General features: G+C 57.9%; 1 protein-coding gene across 2 annotated transcripts; it reads left to right on the top strand.

Moving 5' to 3' along the window:
- Positions 1-4,475: 4,475 nt before the first annotated feature.
- On the top strand, positions 4,476-13,008 carry NACAD (NAC alpha domain containing). 2 transcript variants are annotated; one of them, XM_006715674.4, is made up of 9 exons: positions 4,476-4,617; positions 7,333-10,546; positions 11,186-11,337; positions 11,578-11,690; positions 11,773-11,844; positions 12,182-12,328; positions 12,423-12,569; positions 12,683-12,805; positions 12,922-13,008. In XM_006715674.4, the coding sequence occupies exons 1-9, from the start codon at positions 4,551-4,553 to the stop codon at positions 12,934-12,936; spliced, it is 4,050 nt and encodes a 1,349-aa protein (XP_006715737.1). In that variant the 5' UTR covers positions 4,476-4,550; the 3' UTR covers positions 12,937-13,008. The 2 variants fall into 2 exon arrangements, with proteins under 2 accessions (XP_006715737.1, NP_001139806.1); NM_001146334.2 differs by having other exon boundaries at positions 7,333-11,337.
- The last annotated feature ends 1,124 nt before the right edge of the window (positions 13,009-14,132 follow it).

The raw sequence follows: 14,132 nt of genomic DNA, 5'->3' as shown, positions 1-14,132 counted from the left end.
CTTCCATTACTTCTTTAATCATACTTTCCCTTATTCTACGAACATATTCGTAGTGGTTATTTTGAAATATTTTTCTGTTAAAATCTTGTTGCTTACACAGGCAGGTTCTGTTCCTGCCTTTTTTATTTTTCTGGTATACAAGTCATACTTTCATTTCTTTGCCAATTTTTTGTTGGAAAGTGGACATTTTAATAACATTAAATAAATAATTGAACAGTAACCCAATAGCAACTCTGGGTACAGGTCCAAACCCCCTCCCTTCTGGAGCTTGTATTGCTGTTTGCTTGTTTATTTGCTTAGTGACTAGCTGGATTATTTTTGGTGAGGTCTTTCGCGCTCCCCTACAATGTTCCGCCTCTGATGGTCCTCTTCAGGGAGGTGCAGCTATGTGTATGCCCACAGTCACCCTGGAATGAGAGTGGTTCTGGTAAGGCTCTCCTACTCTCTTTTCCTAACCATGCCCAGCTGTTAAACTCCACTAATTGCCACTCCTAAACTCCACTGATTGCTCTATTGTTTTCGACAATACTCTGGGCAGAAATTCCTCTGCAAACTCATCCAAATTGTGGCCTCTTAGCTAGAATAGTTTCAGAGGCCAGTGTTTAACATTTTCTTTAATCCCAGTAGGGCTCCACCCAGGTGTCTTATTACCCCATTTTCTCCTGCAAACTAGCCAACCTCCAGCCTAGGCTGTATCTTCATTAGATCCATGAATCTCCTTCCAGTTGCCTTTCACCATAACCTCTACTGCTGTTGAGAATACCCTTGGGTTTAAACTTCCTATGTTGCCTTGCAAGTAAGGTCATTTCCTCTGGGAAGAGATCATGGGCTATCTGTTTTACAACCTGCCTCTCCCCTCCAGGCAAAATCTCTTAGCTCAGTGGCAAACTTCTGAGTCACACTCCCACTCTAGGAGCTGAGCAGTCAGTGGAAGGGAGGCAGCAGCCTCTCCTGGCATGGAACTCTCACCTCATAAGCGGTGAGAAGGGCTGTCAGGACCCCAGTATTCTCAGCATGCCACACCCGAAGTAGAGTCCACTTTCCACAAGTGGGGGCTAAGTGGAAGAAGGGAGCCCCACCTCAACCAGACTCACCCAGGACTTACTTCCACAACAGGCAGCTGGGAGCAGGATGAGATATGCTGAAGTACTCCGTCCTCCCAGTAAGAAAGCCCTCTGACCGGGAGATGGAAGAAAAGAAGCCTGTGTTCTTGGCAACACCAGTCTGGTGTGGAGTCCACCTCCCTTTGCTGGAGTGAGTTGTCTCGATTCAAATACCACAGACTCTCGCCTTTCTTACTAAATTCTCATAGATTTTCTTGAATAGATGTTTCTTTCTTTTTTTTTTTTGAAACAGAGTCTCACTCCATCACCCAGGCTGGAGTGCAGTGGCAGGATCTCGGCTCACTGCAACGAACCTCCGCCTCCAGGGTTCAAGCAATTCTCCTGCCTCAGCCTCCCTAGTAGGTAGGATTACAGGTGTGCATCACCATACCCAACTAATTTTTGTATTTTTTTTAAGTAGAGATGGATTTTCACCATGTTAGCCAGGCTGGTCTCGAACTCCTGATCTCAAGTGATCCGCCCACCTTGGCCTCCCAAAATGCTGGGATTACAGGCGTGAGCCACCACATCCAGCCTTGAACAGATGTTTCTTCATTTGCTGTTTGCCCTTCAGACCATTTCCAGAAGCTTTAATTTGTTCTCTCTTTCACTTTTATTTTGTTGGGCCCTTTCTTTTTTTTTTTTTTTCCCAAGACGGAGTCTCACTCTGTCACCAGGCTGGAGTGCAGTGGCACGATCTCAGCTCACTGCAACCTATGCCTCTCAGGTTCAAGCAATTATCCTGCCTCAGCCTCCCGAGTAGCTGGGACTACAGGCATGCACCATCACGCCCGGCTAATTTTTGTATTTTTAGTAGAGACAGGGTTTCACCATGTTGGCCAGGAAGGTCTTGATTTCTTGACCTCATGATCTGCCCACCTCAGCCTCCTGAAGTGCTGGGATTACAGGCATGAGCCACCACGCCTGGCTTGCTGACCTTTCAACTCAGTTTGTTTTTTTTTTTTTTTAATAATTTTTACCAGGCTGGGTGTGGTGGCTCACACCTGTAATTCCAACACTTTGGGAGGCCAAGGTGGGTGGATCACGAGGTCAGGAGTTCAAGACCAGCCTGGCCAACAGGGTGAAACCCCGTCTCTACTAAAAATACAAAAATTAGCCAGGCATGGTGGGACCTGTAGTCCCAGCTGCTCGGGAGGCTGAGACAGTAGGATCGCTTGAACCCGGAAGACAGAGGTTGCAGTGAGCCGAGATCATGCCACTGCACTACAGACTGGTCAAAAGAGCAAGACTCCATCTCAAATTAAAAAATTAAAATTAATAATAATAATTTTTACCAGTTTCACTGGGGAGCTGCTCAGCAGAACTCCCCATGCTTTCATTCTGGAAGTCAATCTGCCTTTTATTTCTTCTTGCTTTATTGCAAGGTTTAGAAATTCCAATAATATGTTGAAAAGAGTGGTGAGTGCGGACACCCTTGCCTTGTTCCCAATCTTAAAAAGCATTCAGTCTTTCACCATTAAGTATGATGTTAGCTGTATAAGTTTTTTATATAAGATCTTTATCAAGTTTATTTTTAACTTGCTGAAAGTGTTTTTTTTTAAATCATGAATGATGTTGGTTATGTCAAACACATTTTCTGTGTCAACTGATACCAAAATTTTTCTTCTTTAGCCTGTTGGTGTTCTGGAGTATTGTTGATTGATTTTCAACTGTCAAACCAGCCTTGCATACGTGGAATAAATTCCACTTGGTCATGGTGTATTTTTTTTATACATCATTATATTTGATTTGCCAATATTGAGAATTTTTGTGCCTGAATTCATGAGAGATGCTGGTCTGCAGTTTTCGTTTTGGGGGTCTTGGGGTGTATTGACACTTTGTTAGTTTTTTTTTTTTTTTTTTTTTTTTTGAGACGGAGTCTCGCTCTGTCGCCCAGGCTGGAGTGCAGTGGTGCGATCTCGGCTCACTGCAACCTCCGCTTCCCGGGTTAACGCCATTCTCCTGCCTCAGCCTCCTGAGTAGCTGGGACTACAGGAGCCCGCTACCACTCCCGGCTCATTTTCTGTATTTTTAGTAGAGACGGGGTTTCACCACGTTAGCCAGAATGGCCTCGATCTCCTGACCTCGTGATCCGCCAGCCTCGGCCTCCCAAAGTGCTGGGATTACAGGCGTGAGCCTCCGCGCCTGGCGACACATTGTTAGTTTTGACATCAGGATATTTCTTGCCTTATAAAATGAGTTAGGAAGTGTCCCCTTCTCTTTTGTTTTCTGGAAGAGATTGTTTGAAGTTGATGTTAATTCTAATGGTGTGGTGTGTCTGACTCCTGGGGTACAGCGGGGAGAGATGCCCAGCAGGCAGCCAGGTGTGTAGCACTGAGCCTTGAGGCAGGTCTGGGGGAGTCAGAGGGCAGCCCCTGGCTTCATGAGCTCAAAGTTAGAACCCACAGAAGACTGAGGATGTTGAAACCTCCCTCCCTGCCTGTGACAATGGCTACTCTGATTCCCCCCACCCCAGTCAGGGGTGATGACAATGTCTCATTCATCTGTCTCCCTGGTGCCTGGCACGGGGGAGGAGGGGTGCTCAGTGAATCTGGGTGGCGCAGTAGCCTGTGTGAAAGCAAGAGGCATTTCAGGAAATTCACGGGGCGGGCTTCCTCCTGGGAGGTGTGGCAGAGGGTGCTGCCAGGAATAGAGGGAAACACTTTCTTCCTTTTCCTTCTACTGCCTAGTGTGGGGGTGGAGGGGAGATGATAGGACAGATCACCGAGTTGCCTAGAGACCTGGAGACCGACCCATCCGGGTCGCCTTCCCTGGTGCGCTCTCGTCGGCTCCATCCCTGGTTGCCATGGAGACAGGAGGCGGTTGCCACGGAGACCGACGACTGCCAGGACCAGCCAATCACTCCAGAGCTGCAGCTCCAGCTCACCTTTTGCATGGAGGCATCGGGCTGGGCGGGGCCCCCTCCCTCCCCAGGCCCTGCACCCTCTGCTTGGTCAGCGGGGAAGGAGGCTGCGCCGCCAACTCCACCCAAAGCGCTCCGAGCATCCCAGAATCCCAACCACCTCCCCAGCCTCCCACAACCAGGGTTCTAGGGGCGTCCCCGCCTCTTCCTGGCCACGGGCGAATGCCACCCTGAGGCAACCCAGCTTCCAATTGGCCCTGAAACCCTCCCTCGTAAATGCTGTGGAAAGGGTGGGACCGGGCGCAGGCGCCCACCCCCGCTCCCCCACGAAACCGCCCACAGCGAGAGGGAGGCCACAGCCGGGTGGGGTGGGGGCGGGGAGGGAGCCCCCCCTACGCCCTCCGCAGTGCCTGGCGAGCCCGCGCACGCTCACTCGCTGGGACAGGCGGGCGGGGCGGCCTGACGTCACCCACTGCCCCCACCGCCCGGCCGAGGGGCGGTGGCCGCGCAGGCTCGGCGGGGCGGCGGCACGGACTGACGGAGGGTCGGAAGGACTGAGGGACGGGCGGGCGCACGGCCAGGCCATGCCTGGGGAGGCTGCCCGCGCCGAGCTGCTGCTGCCCGAGGCGGACCGACCCGGGCCCCGCACAGGTGAGGCCGTGGCCACTCTTTCCCTGCCTTCAGCCTCTCCCCTCTCCAGCCCGGGTTCTCTTTCCATCGCTCACCTTTCACCCCTCTCCCCCATCCCCCTGGCCCCCCTCGAGTCCCCTCCCCTTTCCGCGCCCTGTCCTTCCCTCCATCTGAACCCTGCTACCGCCTCTCTCAGAACTGCGGGGAAGGTGGGGCGCACGAAGTGCCCGCCGCGAGCCAGAAAGAACGTGGGGGCTTAAGCCCTTGGCTTCCGACCCAGGGATCGTGGGGCTCGCATCCCGCCCGCTGCATCCCGTTGTTTGCACCGAGCTGCCAGCCTGCTGGGGCTGGGCCGCTCTGGACAGAGGCAGCGGGTTCTGGAGGCGGGGTGTCCGGCTGATACCCCCAGTACGATCAGGTGACCACCGGGAGGGTCCTCAGTTGCACCCGGTCTGTCCTGGGCCGGCGACTGGTCATGGCTCTGGAGGGAGGAGCAGGACTGGCCAGAGCCTAGGAAGCCCGGATGGAGGGCCAGGTGGTGGAATAAAGCCTAAGTTGGGTCTGGAAGGTGGAAGGCCTTGGGGGAGGTGGCCTGATTAGCAATGGCCCTGGGTGTGCAGACCACCTGTCCTTAGGCTGGGTCAACAAATGCTGGTGGAGGCTGATGGGGTCTACGGGGCCTAGAAAGAGCCGAGCCTGGACAGTCCTGGCGTGGAGGTCAGCCATGTGTGGGTAGGGCCAAGGGCACCTTGCTGTGGGCAAGAAGTCACCCAGAGATGGGACCACTGCTGGGGCCTGGGGCCTGGTTTGGGGTGACACAGGCTGCTGCCTCTGCTCTAGGTGGGAGGCAGGGAGTGCAGGCCCAGACTTCCCAGCCCCAGGGTCTTGTGCTGGCTCTGTTCTGGCTTGCTTGGTGACCTTGAATGAGTTATAAAAACCTTTGGCCTTTGGTTTCTGCTCCATCCCAACAGCTCAGCCGTTCCCCTGCCCTGGGGGCCACACCAGGGGCCAGAACCAAGAGCCCAGCTTCAGGGCACCCAGTGATGCCCCACCAGCCACGCCCACTCCTGATGTTGGGTGTCAGGCATGCAAGAACCCAAAGGACCCCCTTGTCTCAGGACCCCCTGGATGTCCCATCACCCCAGCAGCAAAGCCCTTGGGTGACAAGTTTTGGCTGGTGGTTCAGGGCTCAGGGCTCTGATGCTGCTGAGGGGAGCTGGAGCAGCCTGGCAACAGGGTCCCCCTTCTTTCAGCTTCAACTCTAATCCTGGCTCTGCTTTGTAGATGAGAAAGCTGAGGTGCAAGAGATGTTGTCCTGGTCACCAGTGAGTGCGGGAGAGCAGGAGCCACCAGGCAGGCATCTGCAGCCTGGAGAGCTGGCCCCTGTGTGCCGCCGCTCCCCCACCTTGGGCAAGACCTGGCCTGGGCTCTGAAGGGCCTTCATTGGATGCTTCAAACAGAGGTGCCTTTGGCCTAGGTCCAAGTGAGGGAGTGGACATAATGGAGACATTTAAAATGAAGCTTATGAGCATTTAGAGCACACAGGAAAATGCTTATGAGATTAGGTTGGGTGAAAATAGCTAGATTCAAAACTGAATGTGCAATGTGATCTCGCCTGTGATAAAATACAGGCCAGTAAGAGTCCAGGAGGCAGAAAACCATAGCGGTCTGGTGTGCCGCAACCTCGGAGGGGTTTTCTTCCATCTTCCTGAGTCCCCTAAGTCCTTTCTGACCCATGAGGGCTACTTCCTATGGACTCCTTTCTCAGCTGGAGGTGTGTTAGCTCACAGACGTTTACTGAGTACCAGAGCCTCCTCATACTGAAGCCTGCCCAGCGGGTTGGGGGAGTGCATCATGGGACCCAGAGAAGGCCCACAGGGCAGGGTGGGAACTCCCAGCACCCGGGAAGGAACTGGTGGTCACCCATGGGGTGGCTGCCACCAAGGAGAGGACTCAGCCAGAGGCTGCTGTTGGCCCTCTGAAGCTGTCCTGTGCTCTTGCTGGGCTCCATGGTCTCCGTTCCTGCCCACCACTGCCCTTGTGGCCAGATGCTCCAGCAAAGCCTCCACGGGACACTTCATCTCTGTTCTCCAGAAACTTGGCTGCGTGTGGTGGCCCCTGGCTTCCCCATCTCCCTGGGTGCAGGAGGGGAGCAGGGTCAGAGGGGCCTGGTGAAACCCTGACATGTTGGCCTCAAGTGTAGGTAGCAAGGACAGCAGAGAGAGGAGGCAGAGCGAGGCATGAAGCCCAGAGTGTTCGAGCTGCGCGCGTCGTGCTGGTGCCACCTGCCTCATGTGGCGCATCTATTGGGAGGTCATGGGATGGGACTGGCACTGCCTGGCAGATTCCCACCACCAGCCCCTCCCACCGAGCCCAGCTGAACCACACTGATTCTGTGGAATGGAAACTGCAATCCAGTCTCCCCAGAGAGGCTGAAATGCTAGTTCTTTGCTGAGGTGTCCTTGAGAAAAGCCGCCAGACAGGTCTGTTCATGACTCCCAGCAACACTTCCCTCAAAACCCCTCTCTAGGAAACCACTAGCATCTGCTCTCTGCTGTCAAAACTCCTGGAAGTTCTCCCTCAAACGCAGCGTGCAGAGGGTCTTCTCTTTTCTCTCCTGCCTTCCTGGATCCACCTTCCTCTGGGCCCTATGCAGCCGGAATTCATCTCCCCGGGCCTGGCCCTTGCCTGGGAGATGCATCCAGGGGCACCTCATGATCTTCTCTATCTCCACAGATCTGTCCTGCGATGCGGCCGCTGCCACCACCATCCTGGGAGGGGACCGGCGGGAGCCCTGTGCTCTGACCCCAGGGCCCAGCCACCTGGCCCTCACGTTCCTGCCCAGCAAGCCGGGTGCCCGGCCCCAGCCCGAGGGAGCCAGCTGGGATGCAGGGCCTGGTGGGGCACCCTCGGCCTGGGCGGACCCAGGGGAGGGCGGCCCAAGCCCCATGCTCCTCCCTGAGGGCCTGTCTTCCCAGGCTCTGTCCACGGAGGCTCCTCTCCCGGCCACCCTGGAGCCCCGGATTGTGATGGGAGAGGAGACGTGCCAGGCCCTCCTGTCACCCAGAGCTGCCCGGACAGCGCTCAGGGACCAGGAGGGTGGGCACGCAAGCCCAGACCCACCCCCCGAGCTGTGTTCTCAGGGTGATCTTTCTGTGCCTTCCCCTCCCCCAGACCCTGATTCCTTCTTCACGCCTCCCTCCACCCCCACCAAGACCACCTATGCCCTGCTTCCTGCCTGTGGGCCCCACGGGGACGCCAGGGACTCAGAGGCTGAGCTGCGGGATGAGCTGCTGGACTCGCCCCCCGCCTCACCCTCGGGCTCCTACATTACGGCCGATGGGGACAGCTGGGCCTCTTCACCCTCCTGTTCCCTCAGCCTGCTGGCTCCGGCTGAAGGGCTGGACTTCCCCTCAGGCTGGGGCCTGTCCCCGCAGGGGTCCATGGTGGATGAACGAGAGCTGCACCCAGCAGGGACCCCAGAGCCCCCGTCCTCTGAGTCCAGCCTCTCTGCAGACAGCAGCTCCTCCTGGGGCCAGGAGGGCCACTTCTTCGACCTGGACTTCCTGGCCAATGACCCAATGATCCCCGCAGCCCTCCTACCCTTCCAGGGCAGCCTCATCTTTCAGGTGGAGGCAGTGGAGGTGACACCGCTATCCCCAGAGGAAGAAGAAGAGGAGGCTGTGGCGGATCCCGACCCAGGTGGGGACCTGGCTGGGGAGGGTGAGGAGGACAGCACGTCTGCCTCCTTCCTGCAGTCACTGTCTGACCTGTCCATCACGGAGGGCATGGACGAGGCTTTTGCCTTCCGGGACGACACCTCTGCAGCCTCCTCTGATTCAGACTCAGCCTCCTACGCAGAGGCAGATGATGAGAGGCTGTACAGCGGGGAGCCCCATGCCCAGGCCACTTTGCTCCAGGACAGTGTCCAGAAGACAGAGGAGGAGAGCGGAGGTGGGGCCAAGGGGCTGCAGGCTCAGGATGGGACTGTGTCCTGGGCCGTGGAGGCTGCTCCTCAGACCTCAGACAGAGGGGCCTATCTGTCCCAGAGACAGGAATTGATCTCAGAAGTAACAGAAGAGGGCCTTGCTTTAGGCCAGGAGTCCACTGCCACTGTGACCCCTCACACTCTGCAGGTAGCCCCAGGCCTCCAGGTGGAGGTGGCTACCAGAGTGACCCCACAGGCTGGGGAGGAAGAAACAGACTCCACCGCTGGACAAGAATCTGCTGCCATGGCAATGCCTCAGCCCTCCCAGGAGGGCATCAGCGAGATCTTAGGCCAAGAGTCTGTCACTGCAGAAAAACTTCCAACTCCACAGGAAGAAACAAGCCTCACATTGTGTCCAGACTCTCCTCAGAACTTGAAGGAAGAAGGAGGGCTGGACCTCCCCTCTGGCAGAAAGCCTGTAGCTGCAGCCACGATTGTCCCCAGGCAGGCTAAAGAGGACCTCACCTTACCCCAGGACTCCGCTATGACACCGCCTCTGCCCCTACAAGACACAGATCTCTCATCAGCCCCAAAGCCTGTGGCTGCAGCCACGATTGTGTCCCAGCAGGCTGAAGAGGGCCTCACCTTACCCCAGGACTCCGTTATGACACCGCCTCTGCCCCTACAAGACACAGAACTCTCGTCAGCCCCAAAGCCTGTGGCTGCAGCCACGCTTGTGTCCCAGCAGGCTGAAGAGGGCCTCACCTTACCCCAGGACTCCGCTATGACACCGCCTCTGCCCCTACAAGACACAGATCTCTCGTCAGCCCCAAAGCCTGTGGCTGCAGCCACGCTTGTGTCCCAGCAGGCTGAAGAGGGCCTCACCTTACCCCAGGACTCCGCTATGACACCGCCTCTGCCCCTACAAGACACAGATCTCTCGTCAGCCCCAAAGCCTGTGGCTGCAGCCACGCTTGTGTCCCAGCAGGCTGAAGAGGGCCTCACCTTACCCCAGGACTCCGCTATGACACCGCCTCTGCCCCTACAAGACACAGATCTCTCGTCAGCCCCAAAGCCTGTGGCTGCAGCCACGATTGTGTCCCAGCAGGCTGAAGAGGGCCTCACCTTACCCCAGGACTCCGCTATGACACCGCCTCTGCCCCTACAAGACACAGATCTCTCGTCAGCCCCAAAGCCTGTGGCTGCAGCCACGATTGTGTCCCAGCAGGCTGAAGAGGGCCTCACCTTACCCCAGGACTCCGCTATGACACCGCCTCTGCCCCTACAAGACACAGATCTCTCGTCAGCCCCAAAGCCTGTGGCTGCAGCCACGCCTGTGTCCCAGCAGGCTGAAGAGGGCCTCACCTTACCCCAGGACTCCGCTATGACACCGCCTCTGCCCCTACAAGACACAGATCTCTCGTCAGCCCCAAAGCCTGTGGCTGCAGCCACGCCTGTGTCCCAGCAGGCTGAAGAGGGCCTCACCTTACCCCAGGACTCCGCTATGACAGCACCTCTGCCTCTGCAAGACACAGGCCCCACCTCAGGTCCAGAGCCTCTGGCTGTGGCCACCCCTCAAACCTTGCAGGCAGAAGCAGGCTGTGCCCCAGGGACAGAGCCTGTGGCCACCATGGCTCAGCAGGAAGTAGGTGAGGCCTTAGGCCCCAGGCCAGCACCTGAGGAGAAGAATGCAGCCCTCCCTACAGTCCCGGAGCCTGCAGCCTTGGACCAGGTCCAACAGGATGACCCACAGCCAGCTGCAGAAGCTGGGACACCTTGGGCCGCACAGGAAGATGCGGATTCCACTTTGGGCATGGAGGCCCTCAGTCTCCCTGAGCCGGCCTCTGGTGCTGGGGAGGAAATAGCAGAAGCCCTTTCTAGGCCTGGACGGGAAGCATGTCTGGAAGCGCGAGCGCACACAGGTGATGGGGCTAAGCCTGACTCACCCCAAAAGGAGACCCTGGAGGTTGAGAACCAGCAGGAAGGAGGCCTGAAGCCACTGGCACAGGAACATGGACCCAGGTCAGCACTTGGAGGTGCAAGGGAGGTCCCCGATGCGCCTCCTGCTGCCTGCCCTGAGGTCAGCCAGGCCCGGCTCCTGAGCCCAGCCAGGGAGGAAAGAGGCCTGAGTGGCAAGTCCACCCCGGAGCCCACGCTTCCCTCAGCTGTGGCCACAGAGGCCAGTCTGGACTCCTGCCCAGAGTCTTCAGTAGGGGCTGTGTCCAGTCTGGACAGAGGCTGCCCTGACGCGCCTGCCCCCACGTCTGCACCAACCTCCCAGCAGCCGGAGCCTGTACTGGGTCTGGGCAGTGTTGAGCAACCCCACGAAGTACCCAGTGTCCTTGGCACCCCCTTGCTGCAGCCCCCAGAAAACCTTGCCAAGGGTCAGCCCAGCACGCCCGTGGACAGGCCCCTGGGCCCTGACCCTTCTGCTCCTGGTACCCTTGCTGGGGCAGCCCTACCCCCACTGGAGCCCCCAGCCCCCTGCCTGTGCCAGGACCCCCAGGAAGACTCTGTGGAAGACGAGGAGCCCCCAGGCTCTCTGGGCCTCCCACCGCCCCAGGCAGGAGTCCAGCCTGCCGCTGCTGCTGTCTCAGGAACCACACAGCCTCTGGGGACTGGGCCGCGAGTCAGCCTCTCGCCTCACTCCCCACTCCTCAGCCCCAAGGTGGCCTCCATGGATGCCAAAGACCTGGCCTTGCAGATCTTGCCGCCTTGCCAAGTGCCTCCTCCCTCTGGGCCCCAGAGCCCAGCTGGCCCTCAAGGGCTCTCAGCCCCCGAGCAGCAAGAGGATGAGGACAGCCTGGAGGAAGGTAAGGCAGAGGGTGGGAGTGAAGTGCCCTGGGGCTTGGGTCAACTGGACTCCTCCTTAGAGCTGTCCTGAGCTGGAGGGCCTCTGAGGTGGCGAGGTGGGGGGCCCAGACCCCACAGCCACCATGGAGAGCTGGCACTGCTTCCTCTGGCCCTGATGTGGCAGCAGGGCCAGGGTCCTGAACCCCCTTCCCCGCCACCTAGAAGCAAAAGGCCATCCTCACACCTCTCCCCTTCCCCAGACTCGCCTCGGGCCCTGGGCTCGGGCCAGCATTCGGATAGCCACGGGGAGTCATCAGCCGAGCTGGACGAGCAGGACATCTTGGCTCCTCAGACCGTGCAGTGTCCAGCCCAGGTGCCCAGTCCAGGGAAGAGGGTGGGCCTCTGGGAGGGCCCCACACCCCACCCATGGATGCTCAGCCCTCACCTTTTCTCAGGCCCCAGCAGGCGGCAGTGAGGAGACCATCGCCAAAGCCAAGCAGAGTCGCAGTGAGAAGAAGGCCCGAAAGGTGGGCTGGTGGCTCCCTCTGGGACCTCAGGCCTGGGACCATCTGTGTGGGGAACGTCCTTACCAAGACCCTCACACTCCATGGCTAATGAAATCCCATCCATCAGGGGACCTTTGGGTCCATGCCAGTAACCCACACACCTTCCCCTAAACAGCTGAGGCTGGAATGTCATGAGAAGGCCCTTATAGACTGAGGCTCATGGGGAAGGACCAACCACCAGCCCAAGGTCTTGGGGAAGTTGGCGGTGGAGACTTTGCCTTCCTGGGCACTGTGCTGCTCTCCTCCCCCGACGTGGGTCAACACCAGGTCTGAGCCCCCCTCTGCCCTCTACTCCCAGGCAATGTCAAAGCTGGGCTTGCGGCAGATTCAGGGAGTCACCAGGATCACCATCCAGAAGTCCAAGAACATCCTCTTTGTCATCGCCAAGCCTGATGTCTTCAAGAGCCCAGCCTCAGACACTTATGTGGTCTTTGGCGAGGCCAAGGTCTGGGTGGCGGCTGTGGTGGAATGGGGGATCCGAGGGATAGGGGACAAGGGGGGGACAGGCTCTACTGACACAGCTGTCTTCCATTTTGCAGATTGAGGACCTGTCCCAGCAAGTGCACAAAGCCGCAGCTGAGAAGTTTAAGGTGCCCTCAGAGCCCTCAGCCTTGGTCCCTGAGTCAGCACCCAGGCCCCGGGTGAGGCTGGAGTGCAAGGAAGAGGAAGAGGAGGAGGAGGAAGAGGTGAAGTGCAGGGGCTCCAGGGCCTCGCAGGGGGTGGTGGGAGGCGCTACATGGGGGCTCTGCCCCAGGGACCTCAAGCAGCTCCAGCCACTTCCCTGCTCCCCCAACTCCAGGTGGACGAGGCGGGGCTGGAACTGCGTGACATTGAGCTGGTGATGGCGCAGGCCAATGTGTCCAGGGCCAAGGCCGTGCGGGCTCTGAGAGACAACCACAGTGACATCGTCAACGCCATCATGGTGAGTGAGCACTGGCCCCTTTCCCTACCCCTGAGCTGTCCCCAAGGGCCTCGAGAGGTCCTGATGTTGGCTCCACTGCGGGGTGCTTCCCCCAACATGACCATCTCTTTCTGCAGGAACTGACCATGTAGCCACTGACCGGAAGCTGGAGCCATCCTACGCCTTCCCTCAGCTCTGCTACTCAATAAATCGGTGTCCCTTCATTGCCCTCTGGTGTCTCCTCCTCGCCCTCTGGAGTCCCATCATCACCATCTGGCATCCCTTCACTTCCCTCTGGTGTCCCTTCACCACCATCTGGTGTCCCCTTACTGCCCTGTGGTGTCCACTCATTACTCTGTGGTGTCCCCTCACTGCCCTCTGGTGCCCCCTCATCACCCTCTGGTGTCCCTTCATCACCCTCTTGTGTCCCCTCACTTCCCTCTGGTGTCCCCTCATCACCCTCTTGTGTCCCTTCATCACCCTGTGTCCCCTCACTTCCCTCTGGTGTCCCCTCACCACCCTCTGATGTCCCCTCATTACTCTCTGGTGTCACCTCAATACTCACCAGTGTCCCCTCACTGCCCTTTGGTGTCCCCTCATTACTCTCTGGTGTCCCCTCACCGCCCTCTGGTGTCCCCTCAATACTCCCCGGTGTACCTTCACCACCCTCTGGTGTCCCCTGCTCTCTGGTGTCCCAATACTCTCTGATGTCCCAATACTCTCTGGTGTCCCCTCATTACTCTCTGGTGTCCCCTCACTGCCCTCTGGTGTCCCCGCAATACTCTCTGGTGTCCCCTCACCACCCTCTGGTGTCTCAATACTCTCTGGTGTCCCCTCACCGCCTTCTGATGTCCCCTCACCTTCTGATGTCACCTCATTACTGATGTCCCCTCACCGCCTTCTGATGTCCCCTCATTACTCTCTGGTGTCCCCTCACCACCTTCTGATGTCCCCTCACCGCCTTCTGATGTCCCCTCATTACTCTCTGGTGTCCCCTCACCGCCTTCTGATGTCCCCTCATTACTCTCCGATGTCCCCTCACCGCCTTCTGATGTCTCCTCATTACTCTCTGGTGTCCCCTCACCGCCTTCTGATGTCCCCATTACTCTCTGGTGTCCCCTCACCACCTTCTGATGTCCCCTCATTACTCTCTGGTGTCCCCTCACTGCCTTCTGATGTCTCCTCACCGCCTTCTGATGTCCCCTCATTACTCTCTGATGTCCCCTCATTACTCTCTGGTGTCCCCTCACCGCCTTCTGATGTCCCCTCACCGCCTTCTGATGTCCCCTCACCACCTTCTGATGTCCCCTCATTACTCTCTGGTGTCCCCTCACCGCCTTCTGATGTC

This window comes from Homo sapiens, chromosome 7 (genome assembly GCF_000001405.40).
Source record: "Homo sapiens chromosome 7, GRCh38.p14 Primary Assembly".
NCBI lineage: Eukaryota > Metazoa > Chordata > Mammalia > Primates > Hominidae > Homo > Homo sapiens.
The sequence above is the reverse complement of the archived record's forward strand: the minus strand, read 5'-3'. Positions and strand labels throughout refer to the sequence as shown.

Bases quoted from the DNA above. Each gene is read 5' to 3' on its own strand.
- NACAD (NM_001146334.2), top strand. From the start codon at position 4,551: ATGCCTGGGGAGGCTGCCCGCGCCGAGCTGCTGCTGCCCGAGGCGGAC. The intron at 4,618-7,332 runs GTGAGGCCGTGG...CTATCTCCACAG, and splicing joins CCGACCCGGGCCCCGCACAG to ATCTGTCCTGCGATGCGGCC. The intron at 11,845-12,181 runs GTGGGCTGGTGG...CTCTACTCCCAG, and splicing joins GTGAGAAGAAGGCCCGAAAG to GCAATGTCAAAGCTGGGCTT.